The following is an 18,448-nucleotide window of genomic DNA, read 5'->3' on the forward strand; positions in this document are numbered from 1 at the left end:
ATGTCTGTCTGCAACCTCTAGGACTTGGCAACTGTTCAAAGGTGGATTTGTGGAAGTTTTGGCTTCAGTGACTGGGAAAACGATAGTGCCATTCGTGCATGGGACACCAAGGCCAGACTCAGAGCTGGGATTCCGGGAGTCAGGAGTGACTGAAGAGGAGACCTCTCAGGAGACAAATCTATAACTTGGAGGGATTCAGGCCAGACTTTGTGATTTGAAAATCATCTGCGTGGACATTGTAGCCAAAGAAACGGGATGGGAGGAAATATCCATAGAAGGTGCAGGGCCCACCGTGTGGAATGGTGGAATCCTACATTTTGGTTAATGACCTGGGAAAGACATGCTTTGGGCTATTGATGGCTGTAGGGTCCAGATTGCAAAAGCTCAGCAGTGCGTAGGGATAGACCTTCTAAAAACACAAAGTCAACTATTGCAGTTAAACTGCATGTAATCAGCCACAATTGAGCCAAGTTTCCATTTCCTGTGTCATCCTTGTACCTGAGAGTGCCTTGGAGCAGGGATTGGGAACTGTGACCTTGGGTGCTTATTTCTGTTCTCTCTTCGCCAATTCATTCGCTCAAGGTTGTGAAACACGTGCTGTGTGCTGTCCATGGCGCTGAACTCTGTTGACACAGAGGTGAATCCAGGTGGGCAGGTAAGAGGAGGAGTCAGTTAAAGCAGCCGTGCTGAGGAAGGAGAGACTCCAGCAGGAAGGAAGGAAGCTGGGTTCCGGGAGGACACGCTGGCTCAGCTGAGGAGACAGAGATGCAGGATAGGGAATGGGGGCTCGACAGGTGGCAGCTGAGCGTTTGGATGACCTGGGGCCAATGGGAGAGGGAGGGATAGGAGTGGACAACGGGCAGCAGTTAGGGAACACACAGGAACGCCTGGAATTCTAGACTGAGGAGCTGAGACATTCGTGTGATAGTGGCAAAATGTACATAACATAAAATTTACCATTTTAATCATCTGGGTTCACAGTTCAATGGTATTAATTATATCTATAATGTTATGTGACCAACATTACCATCTATTTCCGGAAAATTTTCCTTAGGCCACATAGAAACTCTATCCCTGGTGAAGACTGGCTTCCTGTCCCCTGCCCCAGACCCTGCACCTGTAACCTACTGTCTGTCTCTCGGAATTCCCCTATGCTAGATATTTCATGTAAGTGAGATCATACGGCATTTGTCCTTTGGTGCCTGGCTTATTTCACTTAGCATAGTGTTTCCAAGGCTCATCTGGGTTGTGGCATGCATCAGAATACCGTTGCTTTCTGGGGCTGAGTTGCCCCTCCTTGTAGGCATAGACCATATTCTGTTGATCCATGTACCTGCTGATGGGGACTTTGGCTGTGTCCCACCTTTTGTCTATTGTGCTATTGTGAATAAGGCAACAACGACACTGGTGTCCCAGTGTCCACTTGAGTCTCTGCTTGTGATTCTTTGGCTTTGTATCTAGGAGTGGAAGCGCTAGGTCATTTGGTAAATCTGTTTAACCTTTTAAGGAATAGTCAAACTGTTTGCACAGCAGCTGCGCCGTTTTACATTTTACCAGCAGCGTACGAGGGTTCCAGTTTCTCTGCATCCTCTCCGATATGGTATTTTTTGTTGTTTGATAGTAGCTGTACTAGTGAGTGTGAGGTGGTATCTCACTGTGTTTTATATTTGCATTTCCCTGACAATTAGTGACGTTGAGCACCTTTCATGTATTTATTATCCATTTGTTCATCTTTGGAGAAATACTGATCCAAATCCTTTGCTTATTTTCTAATTGGTTTGCTAATGTGTTGTTGACTTGTAGAAGTTCTTTATATATTGTGGATATTAATCTCTTCTCAGATGTTTTGTTTGAAACTATTTGCTCTTGTTCTATGAATCCTCTTTCCACAAAGAGTTTGAACTTTAACGTTGAATGGGAATCCAGTGCATCTCCGTGCCTGCGGGTCTTCCTTGTTTTCTGCTGTTCACAGGTAAACTGGATACCACATCCCTGGCCTTGGAAGTCATCTCTGGGCAGTGCTGTCCTTTTGCTCCTCCACCTTTAAACTTGCTTTGCTCCTGGCTAACCATGTCTCCTCTGCACAGCATGGGACAGGTTAGTTAGGAATGCTCTTCAGCCTCCCAAGGGGCCTGGCTCTGGTGCCTTCCAGTGGAGCGAGTGTGGACAGGTTGTATAACTCCACTGTGTCTCAGTTTCTGCATTTCTTCATCTACGGAGCAGAGATAATAACAGTACCTAACCCACGGGTGACCGTGCAAGACCCGTTAATGGATGAATGCACATGAACCCTTGGAACCATGCCTCAGCAGGCACTCAGCATGTGCGACAGTTTTTACTGTAATAATTTTTATTTTCAACTAGACTCAAGAGCTGTTGATATTTTTGTGGCTTCTTTACTCTTATCTCATTCTTTTACCTCTGCTAAGTGGAGCTGTTTAGCAATCAGTCGATGGTTTGAGTGACTTCTCTGTGCCTAGACCCACAAAGGGCTTTTCTCTAGAAAGAGTTTAGAAAGATTTTTATGAAGTGATAGATATTTTTTCTTTGTCAAGGAAAAATAGAGCCTTATAAAGAAGGCCAACTTGCTATGGAGGGAAGCGAAGGTGAAGAGGCTTAGGAAGATGAGGATTCTTTGCTATAAAATAAAATTCTTGCAAGAAAAATAAATGCAATATGGATATGAGCAAATTCTTGGATTTGTGGTCTCAAGACTTTTGTGAATGCTGCTGACCTAACCAATAAGTCTCTGCACTGTGCTCGGACCTAAAGCAGCTGGGCTACCTTTCGTATGGAGCTTTCTAGTCCACAGTTGGTCCGTTTATACTGCCTGGTAGTTTAGTATTTGTGTTCATTTTTTATCTGCTTTAATACACTCTAGGAATTTTAAAGGTAGGATTTTTTTTTTTTTTTTTTTTTTTACATTTCTGATCCCTTCGTGGGTTTTTGCACAAAAAGCTCCTTAAGAAAGATTTGCCAAATGCGTATATCTGCTTTAGTTTCCTATTTCTATATAGAGCCTCCCTTTAGATAGGGAGCTGTTTGAAAAATAAGAGCTACTATTCACTTTTCCTGCGGGATAGGATCAGGGCAGGGTGAACTTACCCGATGGACCTGACGGACTAGCCGGCCTTGGTCCACACAGCACAAGTTTCCCATTTAGATAATGTTCTCTTGAAAATCGGACACTGATGGACCTTTAAATATGCCCTTAGAATCCACGTGTTGGTGGAAGGTACAGGTCCTCGAGATGTTCTTGTGTCCCTTAGAATCCACGTGTTGGTGGAAGGTACAGGTCGTCGAGATGTTCTTCTGTCCCTTAGAATCCACGTGTTGGTGGAAGGTACAGGTCGTCGAGATGTTCTTGTGTCCCTTAGAATCCACGTGTTGGTGGAAGGTACAGGTCGTCGAGATGTTCTTCTGTCCCTTAGAATCCACGTGTTGGTGGAAGGTACAGGTCGTCAAGATGTTCTTCTATCCCTTAGAATCCACGTGTTGGTGGAAAGTACAGGTCCTTGAGATGTTCTTCTGTTCAAATTCCACCTTCATCGTACATACCCTGGATATGTCACGTAACTTCCCTGAGACTCAGTTTACTCATTTGTTAATTGGGTGACTCTGAAGATAAAAAGAGGTAGCATTTATTTTAATTTTTTTTAATTAAAAGAAGTTTTTGGGATAGGACCTTGCTCTGTTGCCCAGGCTGGACTGCAGTGGTGTGATCGTGGCTCACTGTGGCTTCCACCTCCCAGGCTCAAGCAATCCTTTCACCGCAGCCTCCCGAGTAGCTGGGACTATATATAGGTGTATGTCACATGCCTGGCTAATTTTTTTTGTAGAGACCAGGTCTCGCTTTGTTGCCCAGGCTGGTCTTGAACTCCTAGGCTCAAGTGATCCTCTTGCCTTGGGCTCCCAAAGTGCTGGGAGTGCAGATGTGAGCCACTGTGCCTGACTGAGGTAACATTGCTAATGCCCGGTGTGGTGCCTTGCTATTCCAGGATTCCTGAGGAAGAGTGTGCCGAGCACACAGAAGTCAGAGAAATGGTCCTTGGGTGTGCGGGCGGTCACTCCTCCCGGTGTCTCATGTGTAGCTTTTGGGCACCTGTCCCTACCTCGTAGCAGGAAACTGTTTATTGGGATTCCCAAAAGTAAGTATTTTAAAAATCATATGGAAAGAATCTTGAATTGAGACTTAAACGTCCTGGATTCTAGCCCAGTTTTGCCGACACCTGACCTTGGGCACAGCACAGCTTTGTCAGCCTGTTTTCTTCTATGCGAGGTGAGCTGTCTGAGCTGGTCAAAATCTCTCTCAAGGATAATATTCTCTGCCTCTGTGAAATCCCAGTGCATGCCTTTCATTTTTGCTCAGTCCATAAAAAAACTTCACTAAAAGCTTTTAATTGTGCCCTTACAGGGCTCAAAGCCCCTGCCTCCAATCCAGGAGCTGGTAGCTCTCAGAGGGCCCTGTTTCTAAGGGGTTGGGCCTAGGTTTATCTTGGTTGTGGGGATGGTCAGCTTGGCCCACGCTCCTGGCCACAGACCAAACCACGGCCGTGCCTGGCATCTTCCCTGCAAAGATTGTGTAGAGCAGGCCTGGCGCAGTAGTAAGAACAGCTCTTGACACATCTGCCACTCTCCAAGAACAGCGGTGTAAAGAGCACGGCCTCCCAGTCAATACGCCGACCTCACTTAAAGACAGGACGTGATTAGCTGAGATGTGTTTAGATGTACAGCTACCCTTATTGCATCTGTTTTTACATTTTTAATTATTTAGAATTTGGGTTGCTGAGTCCCTCATAAGTGATTGGTTAGGACAATGAATGCAAGTGGCATAAACAAATGCACCTGATTCTTCACTGGTCATAAAATGAGGGTGACCTGAATTTTTCTTTGTCTGTGTCTGTTACTATTGATCATCATAATGGGAACGATAGCTAGGCTCCTAACCTCACCTCAAAATAATTGCTTCCTGTGTGTATTTATCTAAATGCTAAGCTTAAACAGAACAGATGTGAAATGTCTCAGGCATACTTCCAAATAAATCTTGAGGGGAAAGTAAAGCAAATATTTATAAAGAGCCTCAGAGTTTGCATAATGTTTCCACGTAGTCATATCTTGACAGTGATCATGCCAGAGATCTTCGGGTATTTCCAAGGTCCCTGGCTGAGCATGGTTGTGTGCAGGTTACAGCCTGATCCAGAGGAAAGAGAAATCAGTGGAAATGAGTCAAGATACAAGGTCCGAAGGCCTGGCTCAGCTCTCCACACCCACTGTCCGTAGATGTGTGTCCTTCAGCACGGTCTCATGTAGAATGCTCACTGTTGGCATGGTGGGTACATAAGCTTCAGAGTCAGATCTAATGCTGTGTAGGCAAGTTGCTTAATTCCTCAGAACTGTGATTTCCATACTGACAAAACAAGGGCCATGACAACCACCTCATGGTGTTGTCAGGATTAAATGAGATCATCCATGTGCCAGCACATCCGTAGTCTCAAAGATGTTAATTTCCCTGGTCTTTCACCAGTTGCTTAGCAAGTATATGTGATTAATGCAGGTAAAATTTTACAAAGAGAATTTATTATGCTGTGAAGGAGAGTTGACCAATCAAATCATGTAGGAGGTTTATAATGTTTTATAACATGAAATTCTAGTAAGTACAATCTGTATTATCTGAGAGCAGAACATCTGGTAATGGCAGAATATTTTGCCTTTGTTAATTTCCCTAAAATATTGAGAATTTGTCATGAGAAAGATTATTTCAAGGTAACGCTTATCTTTGGCCTTTTGATCCCAGTGTTTCCCCAGATGTGAGAGTGAGGGATGTGTGGTTCATTAGCAGCAAGGACCACAGGCACAGGAGCTGCCCATTTGCTCAGTCGATCACCTGACAAACCCCCTGTTTCAGCTCCTCGATGAAACCCTCTTCCTGGGCCTCCCTCCCTGAAGATGCTCTTGGTGGAATAAAAACTTCCTGAAGAAGATGCTCATTAGAGGGGAGTATGACTGGTTAGGAAGAAGTTTCTGGAAACTCTTGATATCCCCATTATTAGGGGGGAGTATGGCTGGTTGGGAAGAAGTTTCTGGAAACTCTTGATATCCACGTTATTAGGGGGGAGTATGGCTGGTTGGGAAGAAGTTTCTGGAAGCTCTTCATAGCTCACTTATTAGTAGGGAGTGTGACTGGTTGGGAAGAGGCTTCCGGAAGCTCTTGGGATCCCAAAGAGCTTAGGATGTTTAGCACAGCAGGGGTAGGGAGAGCTGTGTCAGCCTGTTGAGCTGCATGGCTTCTGTGCCGGGTTTCCTTTATGCTAATGGCAATGTGAATTAAACTTTTCTTTTTTTAAAAAATTTCACTTTAAGTTCTGGGATATATGTGCAGAACGTGCAGGTTTATTACATAGGTATTCATGTGCCAGGGTGGTTGCAAATTAAACTTTTCTCTAGACATTTTAGTATCTTACTTTATGTGGTTCCTAATTATTATCTAGTGTTAAGTGTTGCATAAGTATAATTTCTTACTTAGAGTTAAAAATTACAGCTAAAACAAAGTTTCTTCCAATTACTGAGAGAGAGAAAGGGGCTGTGTTCTGAGGCAAGTGGAAGGAAGGACTGGAGGAGAAAAGGAGACTAATAATGTATTTACTGGGCACCCACTGCATGTCAAACACTGTATTTGATTTTTTTTTTTTTTTGAGACAGAGTCTCACTCTGTTGCCTAGGCTGGAGTGCAATGATGCAATCTTGGCTCACTGAAACCTGCTTCTCCCAGGTTCAAGTGATTCTCCTGCCTAAGCTTCCCAAGTAGCCAGGATTATAGGCACCTGCCACCATGCCTGGCTAATTTTTGTATTTTTGGTAGAGATGGGGTTTTGCCATGTTGGCCAGGCTGGTCTCAAACTCCTGACCTCCAGTGATCCACCCGTCTCGACCTTCCAGAGTACTAGGATTACAGGCATGAGCCACCGCACCTGGCCCCTTGATTTTTAGTAATGTGGTATCATTTAATGTATACAGTAATCCACAAGGAGGAAGTAAAAATCATGGAGCAAATCCCTGGTGAAATCAGGTTCGAATTTGATTTTTTTCTGCTTCACCAAACTCCCGTCTTTTTTCCTATACTTCTTTGGGCATTTCGGTTCTTCCTGAATTCTCTCTGCTCTCCTTCCTATTCAGTGGTGCCACCGGAGGTTGGTTTGTGATGGTGTCTTTGCAGGAGTGCCAGGTGCCCTGGCCGGGGTCGCCTGAGATCAGGAAGCCTGGGCAGAGATGGTCAGTCACCATGTCTGAGATGGTGAGCTCAGCTGCAGGTTTAGGACGTGTCCACGGGTCCTGCTGGGATTCTGCAGGTCTCAGTGGGGCTGGGCTGGGAATTGCCTTTGGCCTGGCTTGCACACCTGTAGAAATCGTGTGGAAGGAGGCATCATCACCTCCCTTGGCTGCAGCCCATCCTGTTTTGAAGATCAGGTCTCCAGAGACCACAGGAGGAAGAGACAGGCCCAGCACAGTTCTGCCGGACGCCCCCACGACCTTCCCTTGTCCATTTTCCAGCCTCTGTTGTTGAACTACTGGTTTTGTGGTTGCCCTGGAAACTCAGCCAGCAAACAAAATAGACAAACTGCTTATTTGTCAAGATCTTTAGCTTCCTGGTCTTACTGCAGCTCGTGGGAATCCTGCTGTCTTCCCCTTGAATAGTAACCTCAGCTTTTCTGCCTGGAGGTGGGTAATTAGTCCAAGCCGACGACAAGCCCACTCCTTTCACCAAGGCAGTTGCTATTTAAGCGCTTCTCACTTTTACTCACACCGGGTGCTTCCTGTGTGCTGGCTTCTTCCCCAGTTTCCCCCAACATATGACAGATAAAAAGGATCCTCTCTTTCAGCTGTTAATTTCCAACTCACCTAGGATTCTATTACATGTTTTACATATGTGGTCAGCAATATTCTCCGTATGTATTAAGGAGATCAGTGCTTCTCTGTGGCTTCAGTGATATCCATCAAAACAAGTCTGGTTCTCGATGTAGCTTCTAGCACCATTGAATTTTCCTCCATGTGCACCTGACTGGGGAGGAAACTGTCTAAAGGGGCCTAGCATGGTTCTATTCTCATAGGCCCTGATGGGAGTTGCGTTATTTTCTATGGTTTTCACGTTCTTATAGGTTGGTAGCTAATCGCATGATTTTTATGTGGAATGTATTTTCTAAAGAGTATGTATTTAGTACCCTTTAGTATTCAGATAGAGAAATAGGTCCCAAATCACCTTCAGATGCAAAACAGAATTTTATAAGTGTGCATTTTAAAAAGCAAATAGATTTTAGCTTCAGGGTCACTGTGGAATCTAGAAGTGAAACTGAAGCCCTGTAAGTCTCTTGGCAAAGTGTCATTCTTTATTCTTCTCTCCGAAGCTGCAGGTAACACTCAGCCTTAAATTCTCTTATTACCTGCCCAAAGTCATTTCCTTTGGTATTCATTTCACATGAAGGACAGGGATGTGGCGTCTTCTTTTTAATTTGCAGTTTGTTTGGCAACAACAGGCCTTGAAGAAAACCCTCCCGGCTCGGCCTCTGTTCAGCCTTGATCTGGCTTGTCCCTGGGGGTGTCTGGCCTCAGCCTCCTCCCTTCCAGGGTCTGATGTCCCACCCCACGTGGACCTTCTCTCCTGGGCTCCTGCCTCCTGGCCGTGATTTGCCGTGGCTCTGACCTTCCATCTGATGTGTTCCCTGCCTGCCCTGTCCACCTGCCCTCTGGTTCCTGGCCTCCATCTCCACCCTCCCTAGACCCAGGGCCTGTCCCCCGGGGACCTGGTGAGTGCATGGCTCTCCTGACCAATCCTGCTTTTTCTGCATCATTTCCAAGCTCCACTGGTGGCACTGCTGTCCCACAGTCACCTGCATGAGAGCCCCTGGAGTTTCTCAGATGCTTCTCTGTCCTCTGACAATGCAGGTGCCTCTCCACATGCTGTGGATTTTTACCTCTTTTCTTCTCAGGTCACCTCCTCTCCGTCGCTGCCTGCACTGCCTCCGCTCGCGGCTCCCTGGACCTTGTCTCTGCTGTCGAGGGCTCTCCAGGTTGGCCAGGAGACTGTTTTAAAGCACAGATCCCGTCTAGTCAGCCTCCATTGTGACGACCGCAGTGCAGTCCCAGCCTTCAGCCCTGCGCGGCACCACCTTGCCGTGTTCCACACTGGCCTTTGATCAGAGCACTTGGGGGGCTCTCCCGCATGCCACATCAGGGCCCAGCAGTGCTCCCCCGGAGTCCCTCTGGGTTCCCAGGAAGGAGCACCCCTCCCCACTTCACTCACCCACATCCTAACCTCCTCTCCATCAGTGGACGGCTGCTCTCCCAGGGCCTGAGGGAGGGGCTGTCTTCGGGTTTTTTATGCCTGACACCTTATCCATAGTAGACGTCCAAACCTTGCTTGCACCTGAATCGGCCGCACTTGTGTTTTTGGCCTCTCCTGTGTCCTGGGCGGCTTCACTTCCTCTGTCCTCTACATCTGGGGTTCCAGCTGCAGTCGACGGAAATACCAGGATGCAAAGGCTTTGGTACCAACTTTCTCACATGTCATGTGTGATTGTGACCCAGCAGGACGAGCTCTTCCTGCCCTGGGGTCAGGCTCTTAACTGTGTTGAAAGGTAGACATTCCTTGAAGGCTGATATGTATGATTCTGCTCCATCTGGAACCTGAGAAAAGTGAATGATTGACATAATTGCTAAGAGTCTGAAACTGCAATTAGTTTAAAATTTTGAAATTGGCTTAATCTTATGAAATACATAATATTGTTTTTGTATTTTGAGATTCAGAAATTGAGGCTTCCCCAGGGTCCCTGCTAATGACTGGCTATGTGGCTTTGGAGGAAGTCTCTCATGACACCAGCTGCTCTTGTCACTTAAAAAATTATATGATTTTTCTAAGTCTTTTAAAAATAACTGAATTGTAATTTGCATGCAGTGAAATGTCGCTGTTGGGTGTTGGGTTCGATGAGCTCTGAGGAACGTATTCCTCAGAAAGCCTCTCTTGCCGCTCCCAGCCAACCTCCTGGACCACTGTGCCAGCATGATGGCTTCATTACAGATCACTGCTTCCCACTGTAGAATTTCATGAAAGGGGTCATCTACGACTTCAGTGCTGTGTTACCTCCTTTCTATCAGCCTGATGATTTGAGCTCCATCCATGGTGTTGTTTGTATTAGTGGTCCATTCTTTTTGTTGGTGAGAGTATTCCCAACTTTTCACCTGTTATATTTGTGTCGTGATGTTGCCATGTGGGTGCCCAAGTCCTGCGCTGCATGGGAATCGACCTTCTGAAGTTTTCTATGAAAGTGGCCCAGACCCCCTGCACCCCCATACTCGGAGTTCCTGTTCTTCTCTCCCTCCTTGCCCGGACCCCCTGCACCCCCATACTCGGAGTTCCTGTTCTTCTCTCCCCCCTTGCCCAGACCCCCTGCACCCCCATACTCGGAGTTCCTGTTCTTCTCTCCCACCTTGCCCGGACCCCCTGCACCCCCATACTCGGAGTTCCTGTTCTTCTCTCCCACCTTACCCGGACCCCCTGCACCCCCATACTCGGAGTTCCTGTTCTTCTCTCCCACCTTGCCCAGACCCCCTGCACCCCCATACTCGGAGTTCCTGTTCTTCTCTCCCACCTTGCCCAGACCCCCTGCACCCCCATACTCGGAGTTCCTGTTCTTCTCTCCCACCTTGCCCAGACCCCCTGCACCCCCATACTCGGAGTTCCTGTTCTTCTCTCCCACCTTGCCCAGACCCCCTGCACCCCCATACTCGGAGTTCCTGTTCTTCTCTCCCACCTTGCCCAGACCCCCTGCACCCCCATACTCGGAGTTCCTGTTCTTCTCTCCCACCTTGCCCAGACCCCCTGCACCCCCATACTCGGAGTTCCTGTTCTTCTCTCCCACCTTGCCCAGACCCCCTGCACCCCCATACTCGGAGTTCCTGTTCTTCTCTCCCACCTTGCCCAGACCCCCTGCACCCCCATACTCGGAGTTCCTGTTCTTCTCTCCCACCTTGCCCAGACCCCCTGCACCCCCATACTCGGAGTTCCTGTTCTTCTCTCCCACCTTGCCCAGACCCCCTGCACCCCCATACTCGGAGTTCCTGTTCTTCTCTCCCACCTTACCCGGACCCCCTGCACCCCCATACTCGGAGTTCCTGTTCTTCTCTCCCACCTTGCCCGGACCCCCTGCACCCCCATACTCGGAGTTCCTGTTCTTCTCTCCCCCCTTGCCCAGACCCCCTGCACCCCCATACTCGGAGTTCCTGTTCTTCTCTCCCACCTTACCCGGACCCCCTGCACCCCCATACTCGGAGTTCCTGTTCTTCTCTCCCACCTTGCCCAGACCCCCTGCACCCCCATACTCGGAGTTCCTGTTCTTCTCTCCCACCTTGCCCAGACCCCCTGCACCCCCATACTCGGAGTTCCTGTTCTTCTCTCCCACCTTACCCGGACCCCCTGCACCCCCATACTCGGAGTTCCTGTTCTTCTCTCCCACCTTGCCCAGACCCCCTGCACCCCCATACTCGGAGTTCCTGTTCTTCTCTCCCACCTTGCCCGGACCCCCTGCACCCCCATACTCGGAGTTCCTGTTCTTCTCTCCCACCTTGCCCGGACCCCCTGCACCCCCATACTCGGAGTTCCTGTTCTTCTCTCCCACCTTGCCCGGACCCCCTGCACCCCCATACTCGGAGTTCCTGTTCTTCTCTCCCTCCTTGCCCAGACCCCCTGCACCCCCATACTCGGAGTTCCTGTTCTTCTCTCCCTCCTTGCCCGGACCCCCTGCACCCCCATACTCGGAGTTCCTGTTCTTCTCTCCCACCTTACCCGGACCCCCTGCACCCCCATACTCGGAGTTCCTGTTCTTCTCTCCCCCCTTGCCCAGACCCCCTGCACCCCCATACTCGGAGTTCCTGTTCTTCTCTCCCTCCTTGCCCAGACCCCCTGCACCCCCATACTCGGAGTTCCTGTTCTTCTCTCCCACCTTACCCGGACCCCCTGCACCCCCATACTCGGAGTTCCTGTTCTTCTCTCCCCCCTTGCCCAGACCCCCTGCACCCCCATACTCGGAGTTCCTGTTCTTCTCTCCCACCTTACCCGGACCCCCTGCACCCCCATACTCGGAGTTCCTGTTCTTCTCTCCCACCTTGCCCAGACCCCCTGCACCCCCATACTCGGAGTTCCTGTTCTTCTCTCCCACCTTGCCCAGACCCCCTGCACCCCCATACTCGGAGTTCCTGTTCTTCTCTCCCTCCTTGCCCAGACCCCCTGCACCCCCATACTCGGAGTTCCTGTTCTTCTCTCCCACCTTACCCGGACCCCCTGCACCCCCATACTCGGAGTTCCTGTTCTTCTCTCCCACCTTGCCCAGACCCCCTGCACCCCCATACTCGGAGTTCCTGTTCTTCTCTCCCACCTTGCCCGGACCCCCTGCACCCCCATACTCGGAGTTCCTGTTCTTCTCTCCCACCTTGCCCGGACCCCCTGCACCCCCATACTCGGAGTTCCTGTTCTTCTCTCCCACCTTGCCCAGACCCCCTGCACCCCCATACTCGGAGTTCCTGTTCTTCTCTCCCACCTTGCCCAGACCCCCTGCACCCCCATACTCGGAGTTCCTGTTCTTCTCTCCCACCTTACCCGGACCCCCTGCACCCCCATACTCGGAGTTCCTGTTCTTCTCTCCCACCTTGCCCGGACCCCCTGCACCCCCATACTCGGAGTTCCTGTTCTTCTCTCCCTCCTTGCCTGGACCCCCTGCACCCCCATACTCGGAGTTCCTGTTCTTCTCTCCCACCTTGCCCAGACCCCCTGCACCCCCATACTCGGAGTTCCTGTTCTTCTCTCCCTCCTTGCCCAGACCCCCTGCACCCCCATACTCGGAGTTCCTGTTCTTCTCTCCCACCTTGCCCAGACCCCCTGCACCCCCATACTCGGAGTTCCTGTTCTTCTCTCCCTCCTTGCCCAGACCCCCTGCACCCCCATACTCGGAGTTCCTGTTCTTCTCTCCCACCTTGCCCAGACCCCCTGCACCCCCATACTCGGAGTTCCTGTTCTTCTCTCCCTCCTTGCCCAGACCCCCTGCACCCCCATACTCGGAGTTCCTGTTCTTCTCTCCCTCCTTGCCCAGACCCCCTGCACCCCCATACTCGGAGTTCCTGTTCTTCTCTCCCTCCTTGCCCGGACCCCCTGCACCCCCATACTCGGAGTTCCTGTTCTTCTCTCCCACCTTGCCCAGACCCCCTGCACCCCCATACTCGGAGTTCCTGTTCTTCTCTCCCACCTTGCCCAGACCCCCTGCACCCCCATACTCGGAGTTCCTGTTCTTCTCTCCCACCTTACCCGGACCCCCTGCACCCCCATACTCGGAGTTCCTGTTCTTCTCTCCCACCTTGCCCAGACCCCCTGCACCCCCATACTCGGAGTTCCTGTTCTTCTCTCCCACCTTGCCCAGACCCCCTGCACCCCCATACTCGGAGTTCCTGTTCTTCTCTCCCTCCTTGCCTGGACCCCCTGCACCCCCATACTCGGAGTTCCTGTTCTTCTCTCCCATCTCCAGGAACTTCCAGGGGCGTTTGTTTCTGCTGGTCATCTCAGCTCGTGTTCTCCTATTGCTGATGCCTGGTGTGTATCCTTTCTCCTGTATCAAGCGTCTCCTTCATGGGCGATTCTGCCATTTAGCCTGAGAGGACGTCAGTACACTCGTGCCTCTCAGGGATATTTATATTTCAACATAGTGGCCAGAGGAGCAGTTCTCTAGATGCAGACTTTAAGACACCATGCAAGCAAACTGATTGGCTTTTTTTTTTTTTTTTTTTTTTTTGGTGTGTGTTTGTATTTTTGCTTTCTGTTGAGGGCCTTTCTAGGGCCTTTGATAATACACCAGTTAGCTGTGTCGTTTCAGCTACTTAGAGGCTTGACTCTAATAGCAGATCCCGGCTGGTAATTTTCCCTTTTTGGTTTGTAATTGTGGAGTAGACTTAGTATAGAGAATGAAAGTGCTGTTTATTAGTATACTTTTGTATTTACACTCTAGCAGTGCACTTAAACCCAGCAGGCGTTGCGTAGACAGTACTATGGTGGTTTTTGGATGAGACTGGTGTTTTCGTATTAGAAATCGCCACTGCACTACAATGTCATTAGTGATTATTATTGGGGAGTTTTGCGAAGTAGATAGAAATTATTTTGACCTAAACATCCTTATGGTGTTTTGTTTTGTTTTATTTTTTGAGTTGGAGTTTCACTCTTGTTGCCCAGGCTGGAGTGCAGTGGCGCGATCTCGGCTCACTGCAACCTCCACCTCCCAGATTCAAGCGATTCTCCTGCCTTAGCCTCCCGAGTAGCTGGGATTACAGGCATGGGCCACCATGCCTGGCTAATTTTGTATTTTTAGTAGAGACGGGTTTTCTCCATGTTGGTCAGGCTGGTCTCGAACTCCCGACCTCAGGTGATCCGTCTGCCTCAGCCTCCCAAAGTGCTGGGATTACAGGCATGAGCCACTGCACCCAGCCTGGTGTTTTTTAATAACGGTTGTCTCTGGGAGTTTTCCAAGGCTCCAGATCCTCAAGAACAGTGCTCTTAACTTGTCTAATTCTGCACCTGTGCTGCTTCCTAGAACACGGTAGGTGGGAGGGCTTGGGATGGATGCATCCTTGCCTTTTAAGATGCATTTACACACAGGGGCTGGAACTCAGCTCTGTAGGAGATGGCGTGATCCATCATCATATGACTGCTGGGCATTGGAGAGAGCCTGAATAGTTACAGGTCAGACCTGCTCCCTTGCTGGCAATGAAGCAAGTCCCCAAAGTGTGATTCAAGTTCCATATCACAGCAGACGAAGAGTCATTCAGCTCCAGTTTACGGACTGCTGGGGTATTTTACACTTGAGTGCATTTTGCTTTAATGACCTAGGAAATAGAATGTCTAAGGAAAATCGGACAACGGTGGTACAGTTGGCATCACGGGGGCAGGGCACATATTTAGTACCTGAAATAGGTATTCTTCAACTTACCTTTCAAGGTTCTGGAATAGATTCTAATGCTGTTCTGTTCAGGTTAACAGTCTCAGAGTCCATAAACATGTCTGTAAATTATTGAGCAAATGAAAAGGAATACATAAAATTGTTTTTATTGCCTCAGACAGTCTTTTAATTGGGTAATATTGAAAAAATCACATTTTTTCACATTATACTGTATAAAGCAGTATAATTTTTTCACATTACCGTATAAAACAACTGTTTTGTGGGAGGAAGTGGGTGAGGTTGGAAGTGTGTTGCACTTAGAATAAGCACTCTGGTTTCTGTGACATCAGTTTTTTGATTTTTAAGAAGTTAAAATCCAACTGCAGTTGATAGAAACATCTTTTGATGTCAATGAAATATTATAGTAACTTTGTAATTAAACATTTTATTTCTTGAAAGATGTTTCTAATTAACAGTGATTTATATTCCACACAATCAAAAACCAAGTCTCATTATGATTTAATAGTTTTCGTCTTATAGTTTGCATTGCTGGATTTTAGTATTTCCATTACATATATGCATAACCATAGCCCTTCCAAATAGAATTTGTACCACAAATGTCAGCCATGCTGTGCTTAGTTATAGGAAGAATCTCCCCTGTCCCCCTTAGGAAGTGGCATGCACATATTTCTATTCAAGATCTAAGATGGCTAACACACCAGAAACAGAAGTGACTCAGCATGGGTTGTTTACAAGCAGCAACTGTTTCAGTTAGAAAAATACTAAAATAGTTTGAATCTTATTTATGAAAAGTAGAAGTGGTTGCCATAAATTAGGTTCCCCCTGTTTGGTGATGCTGGGGTGCTAACAGCATAGAGACTTGGGGAAGTGAGACGTGTCTCTCCATGGAGGGTTAAGCTTATGGCTTCACAGGTGGGCTGGGGGAAGCAGGAGACTAAAGAAAAGATGGGATTTTTGTTTTCTTTGGCTGTAGTGCAGGCAGGAACCAAATAGGCTCCTGGCACCTGAACATCCCTCCCTTTTCCATGTGGTTCTGAAGTCAGCAAAGGCAAGGCCATTGTCAGTTACTTATCTGGAATTAGACTCAGGAGAAATCCAACCACAACACCGTTTAAAGTAGTTCCTCAGACCAGTATGCTGTGTTCTTCTGGCTCCAGGGACCACTCCCCTCTGTTCCTCTCCACTCCAGAGCTGAGAGAGGACTCACAGAAGGCAGGAACTCTCTGGCTAGACCAAAGCCTTCTTTACTTATAGTAACTTTTCTTTGATTGTGAGATGGAGGCTGTGAGTTACTTCCCCAGAATCACTCAGGTTTCTTTCTGGGGGGGTCATTCCTGTCGTTTAGAGACTACAGAGCTCTTCTCCGAGGGCCCCAGTGTCACCATGGGAACAGGGAAGAAATGGCGTCTGAGCAGGGTGTGGATCCCGTGTCCTCAGCGTGTGTGCTTTGAGCAAAGCAAAGGCCGTTCTGGAGGCTGCTGGCTCCCGTGCTGAAGGAACATTGTGTTAGGGTGGAGTGGCCGGAGGCTCAGGTTTGTGCCTGTCGATGGGATGTGGCTACATTAATGAAAGTCCTTCCGTGAGTGAGGCTGTTTGTTCTCAGTTCTCTCATGATGGAGAGACAAGTTTCGTTATCAACCTTATGAATATAAAAGGATCTTTGCAGAAGGTTTTGTCTGTTCAGTAGTTTTCAGCCTTTAAAATATTCCATGGAATGAAACCCCCTCAAGTTAATCGTCATCATTCACTGTTTAATACTCAGTTCTCCAGCCTGTGTTGATTGCTGGCCTAGTTGAAGAGGAAGTGAGGAGAATCATAAGTGTGAGTTAATATGCGTGGCAGACATCTATCTAAACAGTAGTAGAGCTGGTTTCTTCTGAGAAAGCCCCCAAGAACTTACACATAGATTTTAAAGCTGCCACCTTCCCACAAGTCACACTGTGACTCACCATTTTTAGAATTTCGCTTTGGAACCCTTCATAGACCAGGAATCTATCTGGAGGTACATTAATCTTATCTCATGTGGACAACAATGTATGATGGAAGGCATTGATTGCTGTGTTTTTCAGCAGTAGGAGAATAGAGAAAGTATAATATACATGCATGTGACGGACTGTTTTGTTCATTGTATGAAAATTGAGAAAAAAACAAGTTATAGAATAGCATGATCCTAATTTTGTAAACTATCTCATGATCCTCAGTTTCTGAGTAGAATTCACTTAGCAACAGCATGCTTTGGGAACTTAAATTTTCAGACTGAAATATTAACCCCTACTGATTTACATGGGAAATGAATTAAAATATTGAAATTAATTCATGAAAATTACAAAATATTACATTCAAAAATGCTATTTAAATATCTGGGGAGCCCGGATCATTTTACTTGATACTTTTCCCCTGTCCTTTTTAGATTATCTTTTTTTAAATGAAAAGATACACATGTTATAAGACATTGAACCAATATAGAAAACTACAGAGAAGACAACAACTGATCACAAAGCCTTCTACTCCTCAGGAGTAACCATCATTCACTACCAAACACACACAGTATAAAATGTAGAAGCACTTCATTAAACGGGATGATACTCTGTGGTATTTTAAAATAAAGCATAAAATGTAACTATTTGATTTTAATAAAACTAATAAATTGACTTGAAAAATGGAACTCATTCCTATGCTTCACACAAACGTTTGTTCATCCCAGTAAACATAATTCTTTAAAAGCCTAAGAATAAAGAAAGAGAAAATTTAAAACAATATAATTTTTGAAAAATGAAAGTACTATTCCTGCGTTTTCTCGTGCATTTTCTCCTCTACCACAAAAAGTTAAATTTGCTTATACCTATGCATACATACAAACACGCATACACGTGTGCATACATACACACATACACACAAACACACATACACACATGCATAAACACCCATGCACATGCATGCATACAAACATGCACACACACCCATGCATACAGACAAACACATCACACATGCATACACGCATGCATGTACATGCACAAACACGTGCACACAAACATGCATAGACATGCACACAAACATGCATAAACATGTGCATACAGTCATACACAGAAACATATACACATGCATGTGCACACACCCGTGTCTGCACAGAAACATACACACGTGTATGAACACAAACATGCATACACATGTGCATACACAACACACATACACACATGTATACACACAAATGTGCATGCACACATAAATACACACATACACATGCATGCATGCACACACGGGTTGGCACTGCTCCATCTGTGTCATGTCATACAACTCCTCAGCTCCTACAGAGGCTCATCTTTACTTTTAGTCAGTTTATCTAGACAGATAGACAGGGTCTTGCTCTGTCACCCAGGCTGGAGTGCAGTGGCGTGGTCCTAGCTCACTGCCGCCTTGAACTCCTGGGCTCAAGCTATCCTCCCACCTCTGCCTCCTTCATGGCT

The 18,448-nt window shown here is 47.4% G+C and overlaps 1 protein-coding gene across 2 annotated transcripts in view, besides 1 other annotated feature; it reads left to right on the forward strand.

The window, feature by feature from the left end:
* The window catches only part of DLGAP2 (DLG associated protein 2), a 970,849-nt gene that overhangs the window by 242,358 nt on the left and 710,043 nt on the right, over positions 1 to 18,448 (forward strand). The gene's annotated exons all lie outside the window — the stretch shown is intronic.
* Positions 15,586 to 16,785: an enhancer, noted in NCBI's record as "BRD4-independent group 4 enhancer chr8:945571-946770 (GRCh37/hg19 assembly coordinates)". NCBI's record gives its function as "activates an origin of replication core promoter dependent on BRD2, P300/CBP, MED14 and CDK7 cofactors, and independent of BRD4, by STARR-seq in HCT116 cells {active_cell/tissue: HCT116}" and the evidence as "EXISTENCE:reporter gene assay evidence [ECO:0000049][PMID:35650434]".

Source organism: Homo sapiens, chromosome 8 (assembly GCF_000001405.40).
Source record: "Homo sapiens chromosome 8, GRCh38.p14 Primary Assembly".
NCBI lineage: Eukaryota > Metazoa > Chordata > Mammalia > Primates > Hominidae > Homo > Homo sapiens.